Raw genomic sequence first — 27,574 nt, forward strand, 5'->3', positions numbered from 1 at the left:
TAGACCTGGCCCACAAGGTGGGAGGGGATCCCTCCAGGGGGATGCCCCTCCGGGCCCACCTGGAAGCCCTGCATCTCCTCTTTTCCTGGCCAGACCCTTCCAGGTCATGCTCATCTCACCTGTTTCAAGGATGCTTATCTGACAACTCTAGTCCTTAAGGATGAATCCTCTCCCAGACTGCCCACAGCAGTTTCTCTCTGTTTCTACAGTACCAGGCTAGCTGCTTTATACACGTTGTAACATTTATTTGTCAAGGCAGCCACGCGAGGTAGATGTTACACCCATTTTACAGAGAGGAAAGGTGAGGCTCACACAGATTAAATAACTTTGCCAGCCTCCTGCAACTGGAAAATCTCAGGGCCAGGATTTAAAAACAGGTCTGCCTGGCTCTAAACTTCAAGAGACCAAGATATTCCACTTACTATGGCTGAGTAACAGATTACTCCAAAATTTAGGATGAGACGATTTATCAAGCTTATAGATTCTATGGGTCATAAATTCAGACAAGGCACAGCAGGGATGACTTGTTGCTGCTCCATGATGTCTAGAGCCTCAGCCAGAAGACCTGAAGGCTAGAGGCTACACCCATCTGAAGGCCCGCCCACTCCCATATCTGGTGACTGAGGCTGGCTTGAGGCTGGGGGCCTCAGTTCCTCTCCACGTAGGTCTCTCTACAAGTCTCTCTGTATGGACTAGTTTGAGCTTCTTCACAGCATGATGGCACTGCCTCTGCCAACCCGCAAGTGAGGGTCCTTCCAAAAAGAACCAGGTGGAAAGCACCATCTTTTAAGATCTAGCCTCAGAAGATGTGCAGCTTCAGTTTTGCTACATTCTACTTGTCAAGGCAGTCACAAAGGCCCATCCAGACACTAAAGAAGGGGAAATAGACTCCCCTTTTTGATAGAGGAGTAGCAAGGTTTTGAAAGATGTGTGATCAGAACTATTATGTGGCTGATTACTTTTGGAAAACTCAATCTGCTGCATGAAGGAACCTGAAGAAACATATCCATTAGATGGTGAGCTCATGAGGACTGACCTTGTCCTAGACTTCTTGGTAACTCTCATAGGCCCAGCACATTAAGATACACATAGCGGCCGGGCGTGGTGGCTCACGCTTGTAATCCCAGCACTTTGGGAGGCCGAGGCGGGCGGATCACGAGGTCAGGAGATCGAGACCATCCTGGCTAACACGGTGAAACCCCGTCTCTACTAAAAATACAAAAAAAATTAGCCGGGCGTGATGGTGGGCGCCTGTAGTCCCAGCTACTCGGGAGGCTGAGGCAGGAGAATGGCGTGAACCCGGGAGGCGGAGCTTGCAGTGAGCCGAGATTGCGCCACTGCACTCCCGCCTGGGCCACAGAGCGAGACTCCGTCTCAAAAAAAAAAAAAAGATACACATAGCATTTGTGGAATTAAATGAATAAATACGGACCGTCCAAGTCAGGCTGTTTTGAGGATTTTATTATTATTCTTCCAATTTTGCATTTACTGCTTTCTCTTTTACGATTAAGCTGAAACGGTCCATCTAATGTAGAGGTTCTTTTGCTTCAAGGTTTGTTTCTTCCATCAGAGATCCAGCAGGATACCATTTTATTATGGGCATCTGCTTCATGTTTTGCAGGAGTCTGTAGGAACGTTCTTGAAAGTCTCAAAGACATGCCTTCAAACTTCCATCAGGGCCTTCCATTCTTAGGACAACATTACCCTTCTGCCTTGCCCAGCCATGATCAAAGCATGTTTCCCCCCCCGCCCACTTGGAATTTGCATGGACTCTGCATGGAGGTGACAGGGGATCCTGCAACGATAGTCTAGGGGCTTGTTGTGGAATAAGTATAGGCTTCAATCATAAAGGGAGAATATGGGTAAGACCAGGATAGTGATCCTTTGCTAATATATGTATTTTTTGTCTGTCTTTCCTTTTTTCTTCTTTTTTGTAACTTTTCCCCTCCCTCTCTTTCTCCAAAATGCAATTCTGGCTTTGTTTGTAGCTCAGTACTCCCCAAACTGATCTCCAATTCTGTGAAAAATCACAGCCCTGCCTTCATCTTATTGCTCAGCGTGCTGCTGCTGAGAGTTGCTGCAGAAGGAACCCTGATCCGGCAGCTTAGCTGGATGGGTAGAGCCAGATGGGGAGTGGGAGGAGGGAGAACATAGGGACGAACAGCCAATGGATGCTGGGCTTAATACCTAGATGATGGGATGATCTGTGCAGCAAACCACCAGGACACATGTCTACCTATGTAACAAACCTGCACATGCTGCACATGTACCCCTGAACTTAAAATAAAAGATGAAGATTAAAAATTAAAAAAAAAAAAAACCTTTGGTCATACTTTCAGAACATTTTCTCTCTTTCTCTCTCTCTCTCTCTCTTTGTGTGTGTGTGTGTGTGCGTATGAGTTTGTATATATACACATACACAGGTACAAAATATTTTTAACAAAATAAATATGGTTTATACTTTACAAACGGGTAACTGGCTTCCTGTGCCTCCCCTGATTTAACTATGAACACATATTTTCATCAATAAACATTCCTCTTTGGCAGTGATATGAAGAGTGATTATCCATTTTATGGGTGTAGCATGATTTATTTTACTAATCCCTATTTTAAGATGTTTAGATTTTCTTATTCTCTATTAGAGTCAATAGCATGATGAACATTCCGTCAGCTAAATCTCTATCTCTTTTTTCCTCAGTATGTATTTCTAAAATCATAATACATTTAGTTAAAGGATATATATACACAATGTGCATATATATGTATGTATATATATTAAAGAACTTTTTTTTCTTTGAGACAGGGTCTCACTCTGTTACGCAGGCTGGAGTGCAGTGGTGGGGTCTCAGCTCACTGCAACCTCTGCCTCCCGGGCTCAAGTGATCCTCTCGCCTCAGCCTCCTGAGTAGCTGGGACTACAAGCACGTACCATTAAGCCTGACTAAGTTTTGTATGTTTTGTAGGGACAGGGTTTCATCATGTTTCCCAGGCCGGTCTCCTGAGCTCAAGTGATCCACCCACCTTGGCCTCCCAAAGTGCTGAGATCACAGGCATGAGCCACTGTGCCCAGCCTAAAGAACATTTCTGAAAAAGCTTAAAAACTGTCTCCCAAAAATTTGTAATTTATGTAATAGCAGCAGTGCTTGGGGATGCTAATAAATCATCATTAACACTTAGTGCTTTCCATGTGACAAACACCTGTAAAGGTTTTACAGACATCATCTCAATCTCTCCACTGACCCTAAGAGAGGACATCATTATTTCCGTTTCATAGGTGGGAAAACTGAGGACCAGATGGACAAAGTAACTTCCTCAAAGTCATGCAGCCAGGAAATGGCAGATATGCGATTCAAGCCCAGCTCAGACTGACTGCAAAAACCCTCCTCTCCTTTACCTACCCAGCCTCCCACTTGCACATTCATAAAAACTGGTATCTTAAAAAGTACCTGATTTTTTTTCACTACCAAACTAAGTGTTCTTACTCTTTTTTGGCTGCAGTTTCCACAGACTGAAGAGGCTCTAAATGACTACGAACAGATTTTTGTTGCCAAAGAATTAATTTGATCCTCCACCCCCTCCCTCTCACTCAAAAAGCACACAACAAAATGATTTTAGCAGCGGGGATAATTACAGAAAATGTGGTATTAACTCAAATGGAATACAAATATTTTAGATTTTTTATTGTGCTCCAAGACCACTGGAGTGGAAAGAAAAGAGTGAAATATGCCTCAGCAGACATAAGGAGAGAGCAGACACCAAGCTGAGAACCCTACGGTCACTCTCTGTGCTTGCACTTTTGATGATCTCAAAGAGAAGCAATCTTGTGATTTGAGCCTGGATCATAGCAGGAGCTGAAGCCCGTTGGAATCACTGGGTAGACTCAGAAGGAAAGGCTAACCTGGCAAAGACACAGGTGAAGGCAAGGCCCTCCTCCTCTGGCGCCTTCCTTGCCTGGCTGCTGTCCTTTCTCTCTGATGTGCCCTTAACCTCAGCCCCATCTGGGTTTAAACTTCAAGGACTGCAGAAGACCTTTGATGAAGTGTTGGTGGCTCTGCAGGGCAAGCCATACTCACACCAGTAGTCCAGGTTATAGACCTGTAGAGGCTGGAGGACTCCATCAGTTAGTTCTCCTTGACATGGACCGGTCTTGTACTTTCTTTACTTTTTTTTCTTTAGAGTCAAGAGTCTTGCTCAGTCACCCAGGCTGGAGTGCAGTGGTGCAATCGTGACTCACTGCAGCCTTAAACTTGTGGATTCCCACTATCCCCCCACATCAGCCTCCCAAGAAGCTGAGACTACATTACCCCTGGACAATTTATTATTTTATTTTTTTAAGATATGGGGTCTTGCTGTGTTTCCCAGGCTGGTCTCAAACTCCTTATCTCAAGAAATTCTCCAACTAGGCAGCCTTTTTGCCTCAGGGCTCTTTGCTCCTCAAACCCACTAAGCCTTTTTTCTGCCTTAGGCCTCTTTGCATTTGAGTTCTCCATACCTGAGAGCCTACTCTTTGCCTAGATCTTTGCATTTGTACCTACTTCTCTTTACTGTCATGTGAAATCAAAAGTACCTTCCTCAGTTTTCCCTGACTACCCTATCTAAAGCGGGACTCCCCTGCCCCAGCAAGTAACCCAATGCCTTTACTTATCATCTTTATATCACTTACCACTACCAGAAATTTTTTTTGTTTACATGTTGTTTACTTGCTTAGTACTTCCTCTCCCAAATGTAAACACTAGGGGTTTTATTTGCTTTTCTACTTCTGATTCTCAAGGCTTAAGCCAGGCCCTGGCTTGAGGGATGCAATGCATTTATTGAATAAGCCAATGAGAACAATATTACCAACTTTATAGTTTTCCTCAGAGGCAGCCTTGAATATTGCAGACACACCTATACTTTAGCCTATACTTTAGAGCAAGGTTCAGCAAACTACAGCCCATGGGTCAAATCTGGCCCACCATCTGTTTATATAAAGTTTTATTGGAACACGGTCATGCTGATTTCTTTTCACACAGTATCTATGGCTGCTTTCACTCTGCAACAGCAGAGTTAAGTAGTTGTGACAGAGATCATACGGTCTGCAAAGCTGAAAATATTTACATCTGGCATTTTGTAGGAAAAGTCTGTGAACCTTTGCTTTAGAGGGAAGATTCCCTGGATTACCACAGACCTTTATTTCATGTGAGTTGATGCCCTGATGGTAAGATGCCACATTGCTTTCTCTCACAGAGGCCTCTTTCATGTCAGCATCTTTAGATAGGCAACTCAATCTTTCTGTTCATGAAAATATTGGCCTTGGCAATCTGCTTAATTCAGGTGGAAAACTACTGTGACTGGAATTATCCAGAGAGCAGAGATCGGTGTGTTTTCTCTAATTGTTAATTATGAGAATGACACATGGTATGGGCCACTCTGCTTGTCTGTCTTTTTATATAGAGGAAGGGTTTAGCAAGGCACCTTGGTGGCATGAAAGATAGACTTTAAGTGTAATATTTTATTATTTTTATTATTTCCCTTTGCTTAGATCTCTATAAGAATCATGATGTTTCCAAGGCAGCACATGGTTTGGGGAAATTGGAGAGAATACTCCCGATGGAAAGGGATAACATCACAGCTGCCACAACAATGCTATCCAGTGAGCAAATGTCGGATGTTCAGAGGGACCAAGTCATCTTGATTAGAATCGTGGAGGTATGAGTTTCAAAGTGGAATAATCTCATATTTAATAAATTTGCAATCTCTTCACAGTGCACTGGAAAAGGGAACATGCTTAAAATAATTCCAGGGACTTGGCTCCTGGGCTTATTCAGATATCGGAATGATTGTCAGGGACTGGTTTATTGTCTTGCTAGGATGAAGTAGATGCTTTTAAATCTCTTTTCTATTGTGCATGTCTGTGGGAACACATGTTTGCTCTTCTTTTTCACCCAAAATATTAAAAAGCTGTTCAAATTGCCAGATCATTTTTTCCAAGATGACACTTATTTATTTACAAAAATCTTTAAAATGTTATTACAAAGAATGTGTTTATTGTAGAAAAACCAGAACACATAGTTATTTTAATACAAGAAAGCAAAAAAAAAAAAAAATCAAACCACCTCTCTGTGATAACCATTGTTAATATTTTGTTATAAGCCCTCCCATACTTTTCCCTATGGACTAAAATAAAAAATACAAAGGTATATATATCCATGTATGTGTATTAGACATGCATAATACTATAAATACTATTCTCTAATCTGCTTTATTTTTCACTGAATGGCATATTATGGATTTTTATAGTCTACTGAAATCAGAATAATGTGGTGGTTGACATCACATTCTCTGAAGTCTGGTTGTCTTGTTTGAGATTTGACTCTATCAATTACTAGCTGTATGATCTCGGGCAAGTTACATAATTGCTATGGTGCATCAGTTTCCTCATCTGTAAAATGAAGATGATAATGATGGAATATACTAACTATATGATAATGATGGAATATACTAACTATATGATAATGATGGAATATACTAACTATAAGATAATGATGGAATATACTAACTATAGGTTGTTGTGAGGGTTAAATATGTTAATGCCAAAAAAATTCCATAATACAGTTCCCAGCATAGGAGATGCTCTTGTTAAATGTTAGCTATGATTATCTTTCCATGTTAACTCATGTATTGCCACATCATTATTTTATTGGCTGCAGATGATACTAATGTATTTATGTATGGGAACATTCTTTCCTGCTTTTCATTTGGTGTATGGTTGTGTATATGTGATTTAATGCTGGTCATGCTTTAATGCTCTTATTTTCTTTCTAACTTTTATTTTAGGTTCAAGGAAGACATGTACAGGTTTGTTATATGGGCAAATTATGTGTCCCAGGGTTTGGTGTACAGATAATTTTGGCCTCCAGGTAATCAGCATAATACCCAATAGGTAGTTTTCCAACCCTCGCGTCCATGTGTACTCAATGTTTAGCTCCCACTTATAAGTAAGAACATGTGGTATTTGGTTTTCTGTTCTAGTGTTAATTTACTTAGGATAATGGCCTCCAGCTCCATCCATGTTGCTGCAAAGGACATGATTTCATTTTTTAATGGCTGCACAGTATTCCATGGTATACGTATACCACATTTTCTTTATCCAGTCTACTGTTGATGGGCATCTAGGTTGATTCCATGTCTTTGCTGTTGTGAATAGTGCTGTGATAAATATATGCATTCATTTGTCTTTATAGTAGAGAATATACTCCTTTAGGAATATACCCAATAATGGGATTGCTGGGTCGAATAGTAGTTCTATTTTAAGTTCTTTGAGAAATCTCCAGACTGCTTTCCACAGTGGCTGAACTAATTTACATTCCCACCAACAGTGTATAAGCATTCCCTTTTCTCTGCAACCTCACCAGTATCTGTTATTTTTGACTTTTTAATGATAGCTATTTTGATTGGTGTGAGATGGTATCTCATTGTGGTTTTGATTTGCATTTACCTAATTATTAGTGATATTGAGCATTTTTTATATGCTTGTTGGCTGCATATATGTCTTCTTTTGAGAAGGCTCTGTTCATATCCTTTGCCCATTTTTTAATGGGTTTATTTGGTTTTTTTTTTCTTGTTTATTTGTTTTAGTTTTTTTTTAAAATAGATTCTGGATAGTAGACCTTTGACAAATGCATAGTTTGTAGATATTTTCTCCTATTCTGTAGGTTGACTTGATAGTTTCTTTTAGTGTACAGAAGCTCTTTAGTTTAATTAGGTCCCATTTGTCAATTTTTGTTTTTGTTGAAATAGCTTTTGAAGTCTTTGTCATGAAGTCTTTGCCTGGGCCAATGTCAAGAATGGTATTTCCTAGATTTTCTTCTTGGGTTTTTATAGTTTTGGGTTTTTATAGTTTTAGGTTTTACCCTTAAATCTTTAATCTATCTTGAGTTGATTTTTGTATATGGTGAAAGGGAGGGGTCCAGTTTTAAATCTTTTGCATAGCTTGCCAGTTATCCCGGCACCATTTATTGAATAGGGAGTTGTTTTAGTCCATTTTCACACTGCTATAAAGAACTACCTTAGACTAGGTAATTTATAAAGGAAAGAGGTTTAATTAACTCACAATTCCACATGGCTGGGGAGGCCTCAGGAAACTTACAATCATGGTGGAAGGCGAAGGGGAAGCAAGGCACGTCTTCATGGTGGCAGGAGAGAGAGAGTGAAGGAAGCCACAGATTTTTAAACTATCATATCTCTTGAGAACTCACTATCAGGAGAACAGCATGGGGGAAACTGCCTCCATGATCCAATCACCTCCCAACAGGTCCTTCCCTCGACATGTGGGGATTACAATATGAGATAAGATTTGGGTGGGGACAGAGCCAAACCATATCAGGAGTACGTTCCCCATTGCTTGCTTTTGTCAGCTTTGTTAAAGATCAGATGGTTGAGGGTGTGCACTTTATTTCTGGGTTCCCTAAGCCTTTCCATTGGCCTGTGGTCTGCTTTTATACCAGTACCATGCTTTTTTTAGTTACAGTGGCCTTGTAGTATAGTTTGAAGTCAGGTAGTATAATGCCTCCAGCTTCTTTATTTTTTTTTTTTTTTACCATAGGGTTGCTTTGGCCATTTGGGCTCTTTTTTGGTTTCAAATGAATTTTAGATTTCTTTCTTTCTTTTTTTTAATTAAAAAAATACAGAGAGGGTCTCACTCTGTCACCCAGGCTGGAGTGCTGTGGCATGATCTTGGCTCACTGCAACCTCTGCCCCCTGGCTCAAGCAGTCCTCCCACTTCAGCCTTCCAAGTAGCTGGAACCACAGGCATGCAGTACCACACCTAGCTATTTTTTTTTTTTGTATTGTTAGTAGAGATGGGGTCTTGCTATGTAACTCAGGCTAGTCTGGAACTCCTGAGCTCAAGCAGTCTGCCCACCTCAACCTCCCAAAGTGCTGAGATTATAGGTGTGAGCCACCGTGCCTGGCCAGATTTTTTTTTCTAATTCTGTGAAATGCTGAGTTTTGATGTACATGAAATTGGAGCTGTATGGCGCATCTGAAGAGACAGCACTGAGGAATCTTTTAGCCCTCTTGCTAGAGAGGTCCTGACGATATTAGTGGGAAGGGAGAGGAAAGGATGGAAGAGTTTGTAGCTATGGATCTCAGCAGATAAGAGGTGATGCAGTGACTGTGCATGAACTTTACGGGGTCTGGTCTTGACTCTACTACTTTCTGAGGATCATATGCAACTTAGCCTCTCTAAGTCTTAATTTTCACATCTGTAAAATTAAGATTTTTTTGCTATCTACCTTTTTGGGTTCTTATAAATTAGATCATTCATGTGAAGAGTTTAGCATTTGTCTGGTACCTGGCAAAGTCTCAGTAAATACTAGATATTATTATTTGAAATTGGGGGTTATCATTAAAACATGATGTATTCATGCATGAATATACATTCACATAGTTTAGCTATGAAACAGTCAGTTGATAAGTTGTACATTTATACAGGTATACTCTTTTTCCTTCTCTTTCCATTGGTTTCTTGCTACTGTGCCTCAAATTCACACCTACTGTTTAATACTCAGCTTTGTGATGCTGGGATGGGATTCTGCAAACCCTTTTTCCTTTTGCCAAATGGATCCATATCAGATTCCGCTATTAGAAGGTGCTATGTGGAGACTGCTTCCTGGAGAAGAGAAAAGGGATATGCCTCTTCCTGTTTGCTTCCAGTTCCTGCCAGCATCACTCCAACAATGCTTCTTTGCTTTGGCAGTGGCAGTTCATTTCAGCGGAGCAGCTGGCTCCAGTCTTCATTTTTTTCCACACTCTCAGAACCAGTCCCATTGTCCCTCCTTGGTGATCCCAGCCCTGGCCTGTTGGCATACCTTCCTCAGAGGCCTGGGCTCCATCTCTGTGAAGGGTTCCTTCATGTCTCTAGGTCCTAGTTGCCCTAGACTCTTCTCTTTGTTCCTCCAGCCATGGTGGCATAGCCACTTTGTAGTTATCTCTGTGAAACTTCAGCATTATCCTCTCTGCCATCTCAGTTCTCCAATTCCTGGTGAGCAATGATTTACACTAAATGATCTCTGTTAAAATTTCTGATGTTATTTTTGTTTCCTGAGTGGAAACTTCACCTTCCCTAAATAAACCAGTTGAGAATCAGTTGAGAAGGGAAGATTCATTTTATGAGTAAATGTGTCAATGTTACTCTGAAGGAAGAGTGCTGGGAGTCTAGTCTTTATCCTGATTGTACTTATTGTATAACTCTACTCATTGTAGAAGTACCGGAGCCAGCAGACCACCTGGGCCCTGAAGATGCCCTGGAGGCATGGCCTGGGGGGACTGTGCTTTGTGGGCTACGGCTGCTTCCAAGAATGCAGGCAGGGATGAGACCTCAATGTGAGTGTCCACATTTGGGAAGCAGAATAATCCTTTAAGGCAGACAAAGAGGAGAAGGAGGATGGAAGGAGAGAGGCCTGGAAGAGAAAGGACTACTGTGTTATCAGAGGCAGAATGCAGGGTAAAAAATTGGTCACCAAAAGCCGGCAGAGGGTGGGGTGTGGAGAGGGAGAGAGTCACGGAAACTATTAGTCTTGGTAATAGGACAGTTTCAGCCTTTCATTATTTACTGATAATAAAAAAGGCCTGCACAATAGATTGGTCAACACCACTTTCCTGCTTCATTGGTTTCCAAAGGGATTTGATGCTTCCCTACTGAGAGATTATTTCTAGGAGCCCGTTTCAGGTCACTCACCATAATGTCCTCACTCAGTGATCAGCTGTGTTTGTCTCCCTGTATGTCTGTCTGTCTCTCTCCGTTTGTGTGTCTGTTTCTTTCTTTCTCTTTCTCTGTTTCTCTGTCTTTCTCTGTCTCTCTCTCTCTCTCTCTCTCTCACACACACACACACACACACACACTCAAACACACACACACATACACCCATGCTTCTTTATCTATATCTACTGGGAGCACTGGAAATCCTGCCCCAGCAGTGGTCCTGCCCAGAGGGGATCTGACCAGCCAGGCTTCAAGAGAGCAGTGGATGAGGCTGCCATTGCCCTCTGACCCTCAGCTGTCTGGATGCACAATAAAGGATGCCTTTATTGAGTTCAAAGAGCCAGGTGGTGCTGCTGATGGGGAGAAGGCAGAGTGACTCTGGATGGGAAGAGGTGGATGGCTCTCACCACCAGGCAACCTGGTGTGGGGTTTTATGAGCCGAAGCAGAGAAGCTCCTGCCCCTGGCTTAAAAATTGACTATCCTGGCTAAAAACAAAATATTCCCTTTGCTTCTTCAGAGAAGATTCAACAGGAAGGACAATAGCATCTAGTGCCTCCATTGAGATTTTTTAAAAATAAACTTTTTATTTTGGAATAATTTCACTTTTACAGAAAATTTACAAATTAATACGAAGAGTTCTCATGTTCCCCTCTCCTAGTTTTCCCTATTGTTAACATCTTACATCACCACAGTACGTTCAGAAAAACTAAGGAACAAACATTGACAGGTTACTATTGTTAGTTAAACTCTATAATCTTTATTCAGGTTTCACTAGCTTTTCCATGAATGTCCCTTTTTCGGTTCCAGGATTTCATCCAGCATATCAGATTACATTTAGTTGTTGTGTCTTCTTAGTTATAATTTTCCAGTCTTTCCTTATTTTGATACTTTGATAATTTTGAGAAGTATTGGTCAGGTACTTTATATAATGTCCCTCCATTTGGGTTTGCAAAGTATTTTTTTCATGATTACACTGGGGTTATGGGTTTCTGGGAGGAAGACCACCAAGGTAAAGTGTCCTCTCATCACAACCTGTGGGATGTACCCAGGTGCTGTCCACATGATTTACCTGTGGTTCCACCATGATTTGAAGGCAGAGGGCAGGCTCTGAGAAGCCTCCTACAGGATGAGGGTCTTGATTCAGAGTCCTTCCCTCTGGATGCACAAGACCATGGATTGCTGATCAAGAAGGACCCTGCAAAGCTGGAGATGGGGTGGAGTGGGGCAGTGCTGCACATGGGAAGAGCAACAGACTAGAAGCCAGGTCTGTCTGGCACTAGTCCTGACTTCACCGCTTCTGAGCTGCGTGATGTTGAGTGAGAGTCTTTAACCTCCCTGGCCTCAGTTTCCTCATTCACCAATCAGTATGTAACCCCTTCCCCTCCCTTCCTTCTAGGGTTGGCAACTGGATCAAATGACATTAGATTTGAAAAGACTTTAAAAAGTATAAAAGACAGTACATAGATGGGAAGTCAGTCTTTAAGCCTGCTTTGGATTTTCCAGCATTTCAGCTCCAGCAGGAGGAGAAAGATTTACTTTCTATTTACTTATCACTGTTAACAAGCAAACACATACAAGTCATATGGGTGTGTGTGTGTGTGTGTAATCTTTTAACTTTTTTAAAAGTCTGATTTATTGAAATATATTTACATATAGTAAAATTCATCCTTCTTATGTGTACAGTTCTGAGTTTTGACAAAAAATACAATCATGTAATCCTTACCACAATTAAGATAGAGAACACGAGACATAGAATACTTCCATGACCTCTTCACCCCCAAATTCCCTCACACTTCTGTCATCAACCCATTCCCCTACTCTTAGCCCCTGGCAATATTGACCTGTTTTTTGTTCCTATTTTCTACAATGTCATATGAATTGAATCATGTTGCCTTTATTGTTTTTAGTTCTAAAAACAACATTATTGAGGTATAACTGATATACAATAAAATGCACATACAAAAGTATACAACACGTAAGTCTTGGTTATGTATACATTTGTGATATCATCCCCACAATCAGGACAGTGAACATATACCCATCACCCTAAAAGTGTCCTCAACTTCTACTGTCACTGCTTTTCAGCAAACTGATGGTTCTCTGCATGTACTCTGAGGCACAGTGCTCACTCCCACTGTTATGCCCTCCTTCAGGTGGCTTTCTTTCCCTTAAGCTACCACCTGGCCCTTTTGATCTCTCCAAATCCTGCCCATCCTTCAAGTCTACGCTTTAGCCCTCCCCACCACCCAATGTCTAAAGGGTCCTTTAAAGTTATCCTTTGAGAATAATTCAGCCCACACTTGCTACTTCCTTCTCTACTCCTAATGTACTTACAGACAACCTCTCATTGTGGTCTTTCTTTATATAACAGTGTTTGTATCTTACTGTCCTAAGGTGAGTGGCCCAGTGTTTAGCAGCATGGTCTCTGGGGTTAGATAGTTAGGTTCATATAGTTAACCTTAGGCTCCTGTTTAACCTCTGTCTCTGTGTCATTTTTCCTTATCTGTAAAATTAGGAAGACAATACAGTATCTACCACAAAGGGTCTTGTGAGGATTAATTGGGTTTATCTGCATAAAGCACTTAGAAAAGAATCTTGTTATACAGTAAGCACTTAATAAATGTCCACTGGCTTCATCAGTACCATTACCGTTGAAAGCCTTTTAACAGCAAAAACTACAACTCTCACTGTGTCCACAGTAGTGGGCTTGTGGATGGAGCTCAGATATTTGTTGGGCTTTTGATCAAGGGACCATTCCAGTGAATCAGAAAGTTCCTGTGACCACTTAACATATTACACGCTTGCTTGTGTACTGCTCTTAGATGATATAAAAACAAATCAAATTCCCAAACCAAAAAGCTGCACTCTTTTGTCTGGGTAAATACAGCTATGACATGTCTATTTCCATGGTTTAGAATATCACCAGTGGGAATCTACTGTGGAAAATTGAGTACAACACTATCATCATATGATTTGTTTTGCTCATATTTGGCTGTGCCATTGGCTGCGGAGCCAGGCAGCGAACTCCACACAATGAGGAGCCTGTGAAAACGCAGAGAAGGCAAGAAAGGATGCAAACATTTAGTGAGTATCTACCTCAGTGGGTGTGTCAGAGTCAGTTGTATCAGCTTGTAAGAGATGATTGTTAAATTTGCAGGAGTTTTGTGAGCCAGTTATTAAACACCATCATTATAAAAAATATATACACTTTAATTAAATAAATTAAAGACAAAGGCAATAAATAATTATACTCAAGTTGAGTATAAATACTCAACTAATTATTTTACTATTAACTACATTCTTGAGGCTACTTACATTTATTGCATCTGTGCAGTGAATATACTATATAATTATATGCTATTTCCCATCTCTTGTGTTTGGCGATGTCACACTAATAGCTGGAAACTGGCCATGGGAGGAGTATTTACACCACAGATATTGGTAAATGCTTCAAATCAGTGCCTTTGATTCTTAGATGGTTGGTTGTTAAACATTTACTAGCACATCACTGATATTATGTACCAGGCATGGCAGTTGAATGTTTTTAGTTAAAGGAAACAAAGGACCACTCAAGTTATTTCAGCTAAAGTGAAGAGAGGCTTATGGCAAGGGTGTTTATTAAGAGGAACGGGATATAGAATATCTTGGAGATTCAAGAACAGGCCCTACCCCAAGGCCTTATTTTCAAGAATGTCATATAAATTAAATCATGTTGACTTTATTTTTTCCATTTTAAAAATAGCATTATTAAGGTATAATTGATATAGGGTCACTCCAGTGGCCTCAGAACAAGGCCTTGAGGTCTGTGGCCTGGTTCACTGCTGTTCTCACAGTACCTGCTTCTTTCTGTCCTGGTCTCAGTGGGCTTCTTTCCCTTTTACTCTGCATTGTTTCTCTGTTATAGCTTCTACTTCCTTCCTTTTTCCCATATCTTTGGCTTGTATTGATGAATCATAGCCATTACAGCATTTCATTATTTGCTCCCATTGAAGGCTGTGTTATTCTCTTCATTTGGTTGCATTATTTCTGAGAGAGAAAATCTAATTGATCCAACTCATTTTTTTTTTCTTGCAGGGCAGCATCTGATGGTAGCTGGCTTGTGGTTTACCTGGCCTTTGGTTAGATAACTGTGCCTGATCCCTATGGCCAGGAAGGAAGGTAGGGTCATGTACTACAAATTTTGACCTTGTACATGAGGAATATAAAGACAAATTAGCCACTGCCAGAATGACTAAAATTAAAAAGACTGACAAGGATGGTGAGGATTTGACACATTGCTCCAAATTTCAGACAGTGCTAATGAAAATGAAGATCTGTACAACAAAAGTACAGGCCTACCTCAGAGATATTGGAGTGTTCAGTTCCAGACCACGCAATAAAGTGAATATCACAATGAAGTGAGTCACACAATTTTTTTGGTTTCCCAGTGCATATAAAAGTTATGTTTACACTATACTGTTGTCTACTAAGTGTGCAATAGCATTATGTCTAACACATGTACTTAATTTAAAAATACTTCATTGATGACAAATGCTAACAATCATCTGAACCATCAATGAGTTGTAATCATTTTGCTGGTGGAGGTTTTGCCTTGACATTGATGGCTGCTGACTTGATCAGGGTGGTGGTTGCTGTAGGCTGAGGTGGCTGTGGTAATTTCTTAAAATAAGGACAACATTGAGGTTTGCCATATTCATGGACTCTTTCACAAAAGATTTCTCTGTTGCACGTGATGCTGTTTGGTAGCATTTTACCCACAGTAGACTTCTTTCAAAATTAGAATCAATCGTCTCAAACTTTGCTATTGTTTTATTAACTAAGCTCACATAATATTCTGAATCCTTTGCTGGAATTTCAAAAATATGCACAACATCTTCACCAGGAATAGATTCCATCTCAAGGAACAACTTTCTTTGCACATCCATGAGAAGCAACTCCTCATCTGTTCAAGTTTTGTCATAAAGTTGCAATAATTCAATCACATCTTCAGAATCTACTTCTAATTCTCTTGCCATTTTCACCACATCTGCAGTTACCTCCTTCACTGCAGTCTTGAACTCTAAAGTTAATGATCTCAAAGTCATCCATGAGGGTTGCAATCAACTTCTTTCAAACTCCCGTTAATATTAATATTTTGACCTCCTTTCATGGATCAAGAATGTTCCTGAAGACATCTAGAATCCTTTGCAGAAGGTTTTCAATTAACTTTGTCCAGATCTATCAGAGGGATCACTATACATGGCAGCTATAGCCTTGTGAAATACATTTCTGAAATAATACTTGAAAATTCAAATTTACTCCTTGATCCATAAGCTGCAGAAGGGATGCTGTCTTCGCAGGCATGAAAACAACATTTATTTTCTTGTACATCTCCATTGGGCTCTTGGGTGACCAGGTGCCTTGTCAATGAACAATAATATTTTGAAAGGAATCTTTTTTTTTCTGAGCAGTAGGTCTCATCAGTGGCCTTAATCATTCAGTAAACCATGCTATAAACAGGTGTGCTGTCATCTAGACTTTGTTATTTCATTTATAGAGCACAGGCAGAGTAGATTGAGCATAATTTTTAAGTGCCCTAGGATTTTTGGAGTGGTAAATGAGCATTAAAGTCACCAGCCTCATTAGCCTCTCAAAAGAGAATCAGCCTGTCCTTTGAAGCATTGAAGCCAGGCATTGACTTCTCTCTAGCTATGAAAGTCCTAGATGGCATCTTCTTCTAACTGAAGGCTATTTAGTCTACACTGAAAATCTGTTGTTTAGTGTATTCACCTTCATCAAACATTTTAGCTACATCTTCTAGATATCTTGCTGCAGCTTCTCCATCAGCACTTGCTGCTTCACCTTGCACTTTTATGTTACGGAGATGGCTTCATTCCCTAAACGCCATGAACCAATCTCTGCTAGTTTCAAACTTTTCCTGTGCAGCTTCCTCACCTCACTTAGTCTTCATAGAATTGGAGAATTAGAGCCTTGCTCTGGATTAGGCTTTCGCCTAAGAAACTGTTGTGATTGGTTTATCTTTCCAGACCACTAGAACGTTCTCCATATCACAAAAGGCTGTTTCACTTTCTTATCATTCATGTATTCACTGGAGTAGCACTTGAAATTTCCTTCAAGAACTTTCCCTTTGCATTCACAACTTGGCTGTTTGGTTCAGGGGGCCTAGCTTTTGGCATATCTCAGATTTTGACAGGTCTTCTTCACTAAGCTTAATCATTTCTAGCTTAAAGGGAGAGATGTGTGACTTTTCCTTTTACTTGCCACTTAGAGGCTATTGTGGAGTTATTAATTGGGCTACGTTCAATATTGTTGTGTCTCAGGAAATAGAGAAGCCTGAGGAGACGGAGAGAGATGGGGGAACAGCTGGTTGGTGGAGCAGTCAGCACACACACAACGTTTATTGATTATCTTCACATTTTTGTATGGGTGCGGTTGTGGTGCCCTGAAACAAATACAATAGCAACATCAAAGGTCACTGATCACAGACTACCATAACAGGTATAATAGCAATGAAGAACTTTGAAATATTGCAAGGATTACCAAAATGTGACACAGAGACATGAAGTAAGCACACGCTGTTGGAAAAATGGTACCAATAGGCTTGCTTGATGCAAGGTTGCCACAAACCTTCAATTTGTAAAATATGCGATAACTGCAAAGTACAATAAAATGTAGCACAATAAAACAAGATATGCCCATAGTTAAGTTCTACAAATAACTATTCAGCAGTATCTACTAAATCTGGCTGTATACCTGCCCCGTGATCCTATTCCTATAAATATCCAAAAGAAATGTGTGCTTTCTTCGATGGCAGGATAAGTGCAAGAATTTTCCTAGCAGCACTAGTTGTAATAGTTCCAAACTGGAAACTCCCCAGAGTCCATCCAGTAAAATGATGGATAAATGTCAAAAATATTATGCTGTGTGAGAGAGGCCATATTCGAAAGAATATATCTATTCAAGAGCAGGTAAAATTCATTAACGTCAAAAGAATCAGAATAGCAGCCACTCTTACAGGAGGTATTGACTGGGAGGGGGCATTAAAGAACCTTCTGGGGTTCGGGAAATGCTTTATCTCTTGACTTGGGTGGTAGTTTCCCAGAAGTAAACACTTGTAAACAGTCTTTGATATATACTTAAGATATGGGCACTTTACTATATATCTGTGTGTTAGTCCATTTTTGCATCACTCTAAAGGAACACCTGAGATTGGGTAATTTATAAAGAAAAGAGGTTTAATTGGCTCACGGTTCTATAGGCTATACAGGAAGCATGGTGCTGGCATCTGCTTCTGGGAAGGCCTCAGGAAGCTGACAGTCATGGGAGAAGGTGAAGGGGGAGCAGGCACATCACATGGCCAGAGAGGGAACGAGAGAGAGAGAGAGAGAGAAGGGGGAGGTCCCAGGCTCTTTTAAACAACCAGATATCGTGTGAACTAACTGAGCGAGAACTCACTCATCACCAAGGGGATGGTGCTGAGCCGTTCATGAGGGATCTGCCCCCACGATGTAATCATCTCCCACCAGGCCCCCACTCCAATATTGGGGGTTATATTTCAACATGAGATTCAAAGGGGACAAACATCCAAACCATAGCAGTAAGTCAAACCTCAATAAAAAGTAAATTACGATAAAAAGAAGAATGAATTATGATTATTGTCCCCAAGAAGTTTATAGCCTTCTAGTAGGGGTGATTGACATTGAGAACACAGAAGTGTAGTTGAGAAAAGTAACTGCTCATTAAAACATGCATAAAGCATCATGTCATGTGACTCAAAGGTTGGAGCAACTGATTCTGCCTCTAAAAAAGAAAGAAATTCTTATTTATTAAGTCTCTAGTATGTGCCAGGTGCTTTAAATTACCTCATACTCTTCTTACAGTATATGAAAAGAAATTTGACTGGGCTTTTGAGTGATACTTTTGAGTATGGCAACGTAATGAAAATAATTGTATCAGAATTGTGGAACCATTTATGATAAAACCCTTTCATAACTGTGATTTGCTTCTGGAGGCTGCTTCAACAAATTATCATGAACTTGGTGGCTTAATGCAAGAGAAATTTATTCTCTCAGGGTTCTGGAGGCCAGACTTCCAAACTCCAGCAGGTCTAATCTTTGCCTTTGTTGTCATTTTGCCTCCTCTGTGTGTCCCGTATTCTATGTATCTGTCTTATAAGGATTCTTGTGATGGCATTTAGGGCCTACCCAGATAATCTAGAATTATCTCCTCATCTCAAGGTCCTTAACTTAATCACACGTGCAAGGACCCTTTCCCCAAATAAGCTAATGAGCACAGATTCTAGGGATTTGCGGTAGATATTGGTCTACCATGGATGGTTTAATAGATTAATAATATGAGCATGTTTATTTTAAAATGAGTAAGTGTTTGCCAGGCAAAGAGGGAAGGGAAGCCTCTTACAGAGAAGAATTCCTGAAATGTGTTCCATGAGGATTATAAGATATTTCACTGCATACTTGCTCCTGGCCTCAAACCCCTTATTTATAGGAGTAACGTGGTCATGCATGCATGCAGGCACACATGTAGATTTGGTTTCAGCTGAATTTTGGACTAGTCTTCAATTTCCTGGAGCTCTCCTGAAGCCACCTTGTAGCCCACCATTTTCCCATTTTCTTTTCTTTGTTTTGAGACGGAGTCTCTCTCTTTCGCCCAGGCTGGAGTGCAGTGGCGTGATCTCGGCTCACTGCAAGCTCCGCCTCCTGGGTTCATGCCATTCTCCTGCCTCAGCCTCCTGAGTAGCTGGTTCTACAGGTGCCTGCCACCACGCCCGGCTAATTTTTTGTATTTTTAGTAGAGACGGGGTTTCACTGTGTTAGCCAGGATGGTCTTGATCTCCTGACCTTGTGATCCGCCCGTCTCAGCCTCCCAAAGTGCTGAGATTACAGGTGTGAGCCACCGCGCCCGGCCAGCAGCCCACCATTTTCAAACCACAATGTGCCTCTCCAAAGGAAATGGGTTTTGAACTATTAATGTGTGTCCTGGACCTTGTTTAGCTACAATCTCTTTTCAAACAAAAGCACATTATGTACAACTGATAGAAGGGCAGCTGCCTTGGCTAAAGCCTGAAGTGCCATTCCTCTCTCTTAATGTCCTGGTCCCTTCTCCAAAGTGCCCATTTGAAAAACCATTATTGTCTTAGATCAGGGGTTGGCAAACGTTTCCAGTAATGAGCCAGATAGTAAATATTTAGGGCTTTCCAGTTCATATAGTCTCTGTTGCAACTATTCAAGTCTGCTGTTGTAGTACAAAAAGCAGCTATAAACAATACAAAAATGAATGGCATGGCTGAGTTCCAGTAAAACTTTATGGATAGTGAACTTTGAATTTCACATACATTTTACATCATGAATTTTTTTTTAAATGTTTTCAACCATTTAAAGATGTAAAACTTATTCTTAGCTTGAGGGCTGTACAAAAACAGACAGTGGGCTGGATTCAGTCTGCAGACTATAGTTTGCCAGTTCCTCTCTTGGGTAACAGCATCTGACTTGTGGAACTTTTAAGATTCAAAATCTCAGCACTTCAGCATTGGAAAGGGCCTCAAAGGCTACTAGTCCTTAATTCCCACCATAACATCCGATTCCTATGCAGTGCTTCCGATATTGTCATCCAATGCCTCCTTGGTTGCCTACAGCTGCAGGGAACACCACGTCCTGAGCCAGCTCCCCCCAGGCTGTGCCGATTGCTAGAGTTCTTCCCATGCAGAGCGGCACCTGTCTCCACTGACAGCGTCTACAGGATACAGTCAGAACGGTGAAGCACAATATTAACACATCAGGTTAATTTCATGCTCTACTTGTCCTAGGCTGATATTAACGAAAATTAAATTTTGTGCTAATCAGCCTTAGCGTTCAGCATGCATGACACAAATTTGTGATTTCTGGCAAGGGTGGTTAAATCATATTTATGCTATTTGTGTGGTGCCCGAATAACAGGGAAATACTATTACCAACAATTAAACTTCCAGGTTGACAGATGTCCCCTTGAGCAGACATAGCTGAGTGCAAATGGAGATTTTTTTCTTAGCAAGTTGAAGGCAGAAAGGACATAAACCAGGGAGCTGCAGTTAATTTTCAATTTCCTCCTTCCCTTTGGATGGCTAATTTTGAATGTTTGACCAATGCAAATGACTTTACCCTGTGCCCTGCTTCTGTTTCCTCCTTTTTTCTAGCTTTGAAAAGTAAAATTTCTACAAACAAGAAGGAATATTTTCTTCTTTCCAGGAATCTCTGGGATACCTAAATAGCATTCTTCCTAGTTGCAGGTAGCTTATTGTGTGAGGGCAGTTGACTAGGAATTTAAAGAAGGGTGGTACTCCCTAGTGATTTGCAGAGCGGGAAAAATAAGAGTTGGAAGGGTGAAACTAGTCTGACTCCACGTGTATTTTCCTCTGCAAGAGAGAGATGCTTGCCCTACCTTGTGGTCACAGCATCTTGCGTTTTCTCTGTGCTTTCCTTGTGATTAGTCAGTTGCTCGCAGATGGGCTGTGTAAATGCAGTCCCATAGGTTTTATTTCCTGGAGAAGGGAAGAGCCACTCAGTCCCCCGGCTCCAGATGGATCTCTCTCCACGGTCCCCCATGCTTCATCTTCATCCACAAGGAGGCACCAGGGGAACTGAAAGTCTGTAGGATCTTGGGCACATATTTTATCTAAGACCCACCGAGTATCCTCAGAGTCAGGCTCTTGTGGGGATCTTCCGCTCTGAAGAGGATTGTGTTCTTCTGTTTACTAGGCTTCAGGATCAGTTCTGGGCATAGGGACAAGTAAGGCCTTACATGTCTTCTGTCTGTAGGGTGACCAACTGTCCCAATTTGCTTGGAACTGAGGGATTTTCTGGGATGTGGGACTTTGAGTGCTGAAATAGAAACAGTCGCAGGCTGAGTGAGACTGTTAGTAAACCTACCTGTAAGGACTGATGGGACAAGACAGGTGGTCCTAGGCCATGGCCTGGTAAGTTGCTAATGGTCCCCTAGGATATTTTGGTGATTGCTTCCAGATTTTGGTGAATCCACCTCATGAGTCTCTCAGAGCCCAGATCTGTTCCTTTCTTCTTAATTATCCGTGTGCCTAATTCTCTCGCACAGGAGCTGAAGAATTCACATTTGGGCTGATGGGCCTGGGGTAGGGATGACCAACAGACCACATGCTTCTTGTCTCTTCTACTCCCTGATCCTCTGATAGACAGGGCTAAGTGATCATCCACTCCTTCCACCCTCCAGCCTCCGAGTGGGCCACTTTTCAAGCATGGAATTCCAGGTGGGTGCTTCCAATAAGTTGGCACAATAGATAATACTTACTTGCTGTCAGGCTCAGACATTGCTCCAGAAGCAGATATGATCCAAGGGACCATTGCAGATAGAAACCCATGTGCAGAAAGTAAGGCTTAGCCAATGAAGTACCTCAGGCATCAGGCCAGGCAGAGAGCCTGAGGACTGCAGAATCCAGGAGCTATACACATAGGATAAGGCCAGCTGAATCTGGATTGGCCCAGGACAGAGCCTGGTTTCCAGGAGGCTATTCATATTGGATGCTGGCCCTGCACAAAGAGGACATGTAAGCTGGCTTCAAGGTGCTTAGTCAGGCGGGACATCTGGTACTAACTAGATTTGAGCTATGCCCTTTCTTTCTGAGTTGCCCTGGCTAAGCATCCAGCCAAGGGGCAGCCAAACAAGCCCCTCTGCCCACTCCTCACTCTTCCTACTCTCACCTGAGTGGGTCCAGTCTCATGACAACAAAGGAATGATGCTCACATGCATAGGATGCTACTGTGGGTATGTCCAGGTCTGGAGTGTGGGGGTGAGTCAGCCAGCTGAGACTGGTAAGGCAACACTGGTTGCTAAAACAGTAAAGTGCTGTAACTTCTGTTGGTTAAAGAGCCAGTGCCCTGAGCCCCTGGAGGTCCCCACCCCTCCCACTCCACCTATTGCCTTGGCCACCTGCCCTTTCATTCCAAGACTTGCTCTTCACCATCCAGCAATTGAAGGGGTCATGCCTGGCACAGAGGCATCTCCAGGACTCCTCTGTTGGTTCTGATTTAGAGTATCGGCACTTTCCAGTATGGTGTGCTGTTCCTAAAGCCCTGGCTGTAACTTCTCCTTGTTTCTCCTATCCAGGAAGGCACATCAGAATGCCTGTGATAAATATTAAGTATTTCATGTTTGTATATAGAGCCATTTTTACATTTGCCCCTTTATTAGTAGTAGCAAATAATAATATGAACTGACACATTTGTAATGTTTTAGACACTTAACATGTGTTAACTTGTTTAATCCTCATAGCAGCCCTGTGAGCTAAGTACTATTATTATACTCATTTTACAGATGAGGAGACTGAGTTATGGAGAACTTATCTAATTATGTAATTAGCCTAAGCTAACACTGCAAGTTAGCAATAAGTAGAAGTCTCCCAGGGCCCTCCCATGCCCTCACAAAGCACGAAAAGCAATAGAATGTGGTCTTGTGGATTAGGAAACGGAGACTCAGCAGGCCATGGGTCAAGGTGACTAGAGCAGCCCTTCGTGTGAACTAATGCCTGGAGACCAGACAGTCCAGGACAGCTCTGTGAATGACAAGGGGACAGGTGATGATCAAGAACAGATTCCCCCTCCCTCCTCCATGCCTTGGCAACCTCAAACAGAATAAAACAAAATGACCACCACAAGAGAGGAGAGATAGTGAAACACCGGACTGAATAATATCGTATTAAATTGTCTGAGATTAGATTTCTCCCTGCTGTTATACAAAAATACAGGTTACATTTCTTGCAACCATTTCTACTTAACTTTCCTTTCTCTGCTGGGTTCTGGGAGGGAAACTTCAGTCAGACTTGTCACATGCCCAGGCTTTACCCAGGAAGTGAGCCTCAGTCTCATCTGCTCTCAAATGCCTAACTTATCCTGCCCCGGGGCCTGGCTGGACCAGGGGTTGGGGGAGTGAACAGTGTGCAGGCCTCCTCCTCAGGGGCCTCCCTGCATTGGAGATCATTGATTTGCTTGTTCCTCCTCCTCTCGCAACAGCACCTGCAGTTCTTATTTCGTGGGGAGTGGTAAGGAGTGGTTCAGACTGGTCACGGTTTCTTCCAGGTCTGTTGTTTACAGCATCAACTTCATCCCCAGGCTGCTTGCAGGACTCAGGCAACTGAAGCTCAAAAGCCCAGGTCTTGTAGCTCAAGAGTCTGGAAAGGTTTGCAACCTTAAATTCCAAGGGTTTGGCTGTACAGCTCTCCTCTGTTCTGCTGTAATCACCCAATCAGGAGGCAACAGGTGCTTCATGGTCCAGTTTAGCAGCTTTAAGAGATACTGGAGGAAAATACATCACTTAATATCATCCAAGTACGCACCTATTTGCCATTCCTAGGTGACTCAGCCTGGGCAATATTCCCGCCTACCAGCAATCTTTTCAGCTCCCTCAGTAAAATACCAACACACCCTGTGGCTCAGTGATGCATTGAAGTCCCAATTTAGTGATACCTTATTTACAGATTTTCTAAATAAAATTGCTAATACAGTCAACCCTTCATATTCACAGGTTCTGCACCCTCGGATTCAACCAACCAAGGATTGAAACTATTTGAAGGAAAAGAACAATAATAATACAAATAAAAGCCAATAACAATATAACAACTATTTATGTAGCATTTACATTGTATTAGATATTATAAATAATCTAGAGATGATTTAACGCACATGAGAGCATATGCATAGGTTATATGCAAATAGTATGTCATTTTATATAAGGGAGTTGAGCATCCACAGATTTGGGTTTCTGCAGGGAGCCCTGGAATCCTGTGGATACCGAGGGACGATTGTACATTTTGAGAACCGAAGCCCGGTGCTACCCTGTTGCAGCGATGAAGTATCCAGGTCACCTGGAGAAAGCTGACATAAGAGCAGGCACACAGCAGGAAGCTTTGATCCTCATCTTCTCTCTGGCTGCAGCCCTCAGCTCTTGTGCACCAACTCTGACCAATGACTAGGACTGGCTGCTCGGAGTACAGCTGTATTGAGAAAGATTCTGAGGCTGGGTCTGCATTCAGCAGGAAAAAAAATGAAGTAATTGTTTGGTAATGCCTGACATAGGCCTAAGAATGGGGGAAACGGTAACCCTCCTGCCAGGTTTTGTAGAATTTTCTCTAATTCATTTTCTTTAGAGATACGGTAAGGACCCGCCCCCACCCAAATGGGTAAAAGGCAAAGCCTGGTTTCCATTTTTTTGTAAAGCCTCAGATCACAGGGGCACCTGAGCCATTAGTGTCCCAATGGCAGGGCAAGGCAGGCATGTCTATAAATCTCCAGTTTTTTGTTTGCTTATTTTCTTCTTTAAACTGCTTACAATTTCTCCTCTTTCATCCTCATTTCCACAGGAGGTGTAACACTATGGACGAGTGGGCAACTGGCTCTTCAGGCTTGGAACCAAGAGGGGGCAGCAGAGAGCAGAGAAGAATTGGTTGGCTTGGGCTGACCCAGACCTAGGAAAACTTCCAATCTTCTTCTTCTTCCCTCAAAACCGAATCCTTGTGGACTCACTCTTGAGACTATTGTCCACACAAGTGGTGTGGTCCAAGGCCACAGCAAGAAAGGTCTGAGGGAGTTCTTTGGGGTTCAGGTGGAGAAAAGCCTGTGCTGGATGCCAGGCTGCTCTGAGAACAGGAAGGAAGATAATAATGTTAACAGCAACAGTTACAATTACCCAGCCCCTGTAGGGTGCCAGGCCCTCTGCCAAGGTGCTTTCTTTTCATTCTCTCAAAGACTACTTGAGGTGGGGAAACCCCCAGTTTACAGATGAGAAAACAGGGTCCCAGAGTGGTTAAATACCTTGCCCATGATCACGTGACTAAGGGAGGGCCAAGCCACATTTTAGACTCTTGCCTGTCCTGCCCTCTGTGTTATGGTGCCCTTCCAGGAAGGAGGCAGAAAGGTGCACCTGGAGTTAGAATATCCTTGGGGAGTGTCCCGGACCCAAGGGAAGGCAAACGGTCCTTCTGGTACAGACTGCTGTCTCCTGATGGCCACGGGTCTCCTGACAGATTTAGCCAATTCACTGGCTCACAGGTCCATGCACCATCCTCAGCAGAGCCGGGGTAAGGTAGCTGGGCTCGAACAGCCCCAGAAAAAGGCAAAAAGAAAGATAACAGAAACTTGTATGGAACTTTCAAGTACTCACTGTGGAAGTCATTGATTTATCTGCCTACTGTGAGAGTTATGTCACGTTGGAAGGTCACATTAGAACGCCCCTCACCTCCTGCAGCCTCAGCTCCACCCTGGGCTCAGAGATCAATCCTTGCCTTATTTAGGGAAGCACATCCAAGCATATTTGAAACTTTTGGGATGGGCTTGGGGATACTGGCACCAGGGACATCTTGCTGTCAGTACTGTCCTGATTCTGAGAACTCCACTAACGCCACATTCCTCAATCCAAGCCTGGATCTGGGACTCAGGCTGCTGCCTCACTAAATGCCTTATCTTTTGGGTCACTGCAGACCAGGGCCCTGCCTTCTTTAGCCAATGTCTGTTTCCCTCATCTGGCAGTAGGACATCAGTCTACCAAAAGAGTCACATGTTCATATCCCAGCTTAGGTCCAAGTTGTGAACCAACTTCATTTCTTAATGTAATCACTTTTTTGGTATTGCTTTTTTTCTCTAAAAAGTATGTATATTTTCTGATCCTACATGTAATATTTTCTGGGCCAGTTGCAGTGGCACACACCTGAGCTACTCAAGGAAGCTGAGGCGGGAGGATCCCTTGAGCCCAGGAGTTTGAGGTTACAGTGAACTATGATTGCGTCACTGTACTCCAGCCTAGACAGCTAGCAAGACCCCATCTCTTAAAAAAAATTGTTAGAAAATACTTTAAAGCATCAAGGAGAAAAAAATTTCTCCTATCTTTCTGGATACATTTTTCTCAACTGCGCTTATTACTATCTAACACCGTCCTTTACTTAGGTTTTCATTGTTTGTCTCCTTCTCTAGAATGGGAGCTTGACAACATGAGGGATTTCATGTTTTGTTCACTGCAAGTTCCTTAATTCCCAGAACAATACCTGGCACATTTACAGAATGAATGAATTAATTCATAATGCCATGACATCAGATATAATTTTATTTAATATTATAGAGGGAACATTTTTCAATGTCAATAAAATTTTTTCAAAAGCATCATTTTAAATGGCTGATAATAATCTAGGGTATGGACATCTAAGCATGTGTTAAGTATGCCTGCAGTTTTGGATACTGAAAGATTACACAGATTAATTTGATTCCCCATTTATCAAGCTACAGCAGGGCCAGGCTCACTTTGTTGTTTGGTTTCTTAGTTTCTTGTTCCTGGTCGAATGAACAGATGAGACTGGTGAATTATGGAGAATTTCTGTCACTGCCCTCTCTAGCCTTGGCATAGCACTGTGGCTCCTCTCTCCAAATTTCTAGGTGATCCAGCCGGCTGGGCTCTATGTACTGAAGCATAGGCTGCCCAGCGTAAGCAGAATTGCTAACAGGATACTATTATGGTACCCACCTGTGTGGCCTTGTGGGGGTGGGGGAACTTACCTTTGTTCCTGTCCTCCTCTAGAAAATCAGTTACATTTCTCTTGCCTCCCTCCCAAGGATGATTTCCAGGGAAGCAAATTAAAAAGCGGTGAAAAGCCTTTAACAATTACTCAGAAATCTATCATTTCATCCTCTTTCACCTCCAGTTCAAGTTTAAGAACAGTCCTTTCAAAAAGAAAAAATTAAGCACTAAAGTCAGAAACATTTTCTTTGAGACGGAGTCTCGCTCTGTCGCCCAGGCTGGAGTGCAGTGGCGGGATCTCGGCT

At 42.1% G+C, this 27,574-nt stretch overlaps 1 long non-coding RNA gene across 2 annotated transcripts in view; it reads left to right on the top strand.

The window, feature by feature from the left end:
* The window catches only part of CSRP3-AS1 (CSRP3 and E2F8 antisense RNA 1), a 116,546-nt gene extending 89,629 nt beyond the window's left edge, over positions 1-26,917 (top strand). Inside the window, exons 4-7 of one of the 2 annotated variants that reach the window (NR_183672.1) lie at positions 5,522-5,688; positions 14,820-15,142; positions 21,849-22,020; positions 24,291-26,917. This is a non-coding gene — a long non-coding RNA (CSRP3 and E2F8 antisense RNA 1). The remainder of the gene's footprint in view (positions 1-5,521; positions 5,689-14,819; positions 15,143-21,848; positions 22,021-24,290) is intronic. The other variant, NR_183675.1, reaches the window with a different exon arrangement.
* The last annotated feature ends 657 nt before the right edge of the window (positions 26,918-27,574 follow it).

Source organism: Homo sapiens, chromosome 11 (assembly GCF_000001405.40).
Source record: "Homo sapiens chromosome 11, GRCh38.p14 Primary Assembly".
In the NCBI taxonomy this organism is placed as follows: Eukaryota; Metazoa; Chordata; class Mammalia; order Primates; family Hominidae; genus Homo; species Homo sapiens.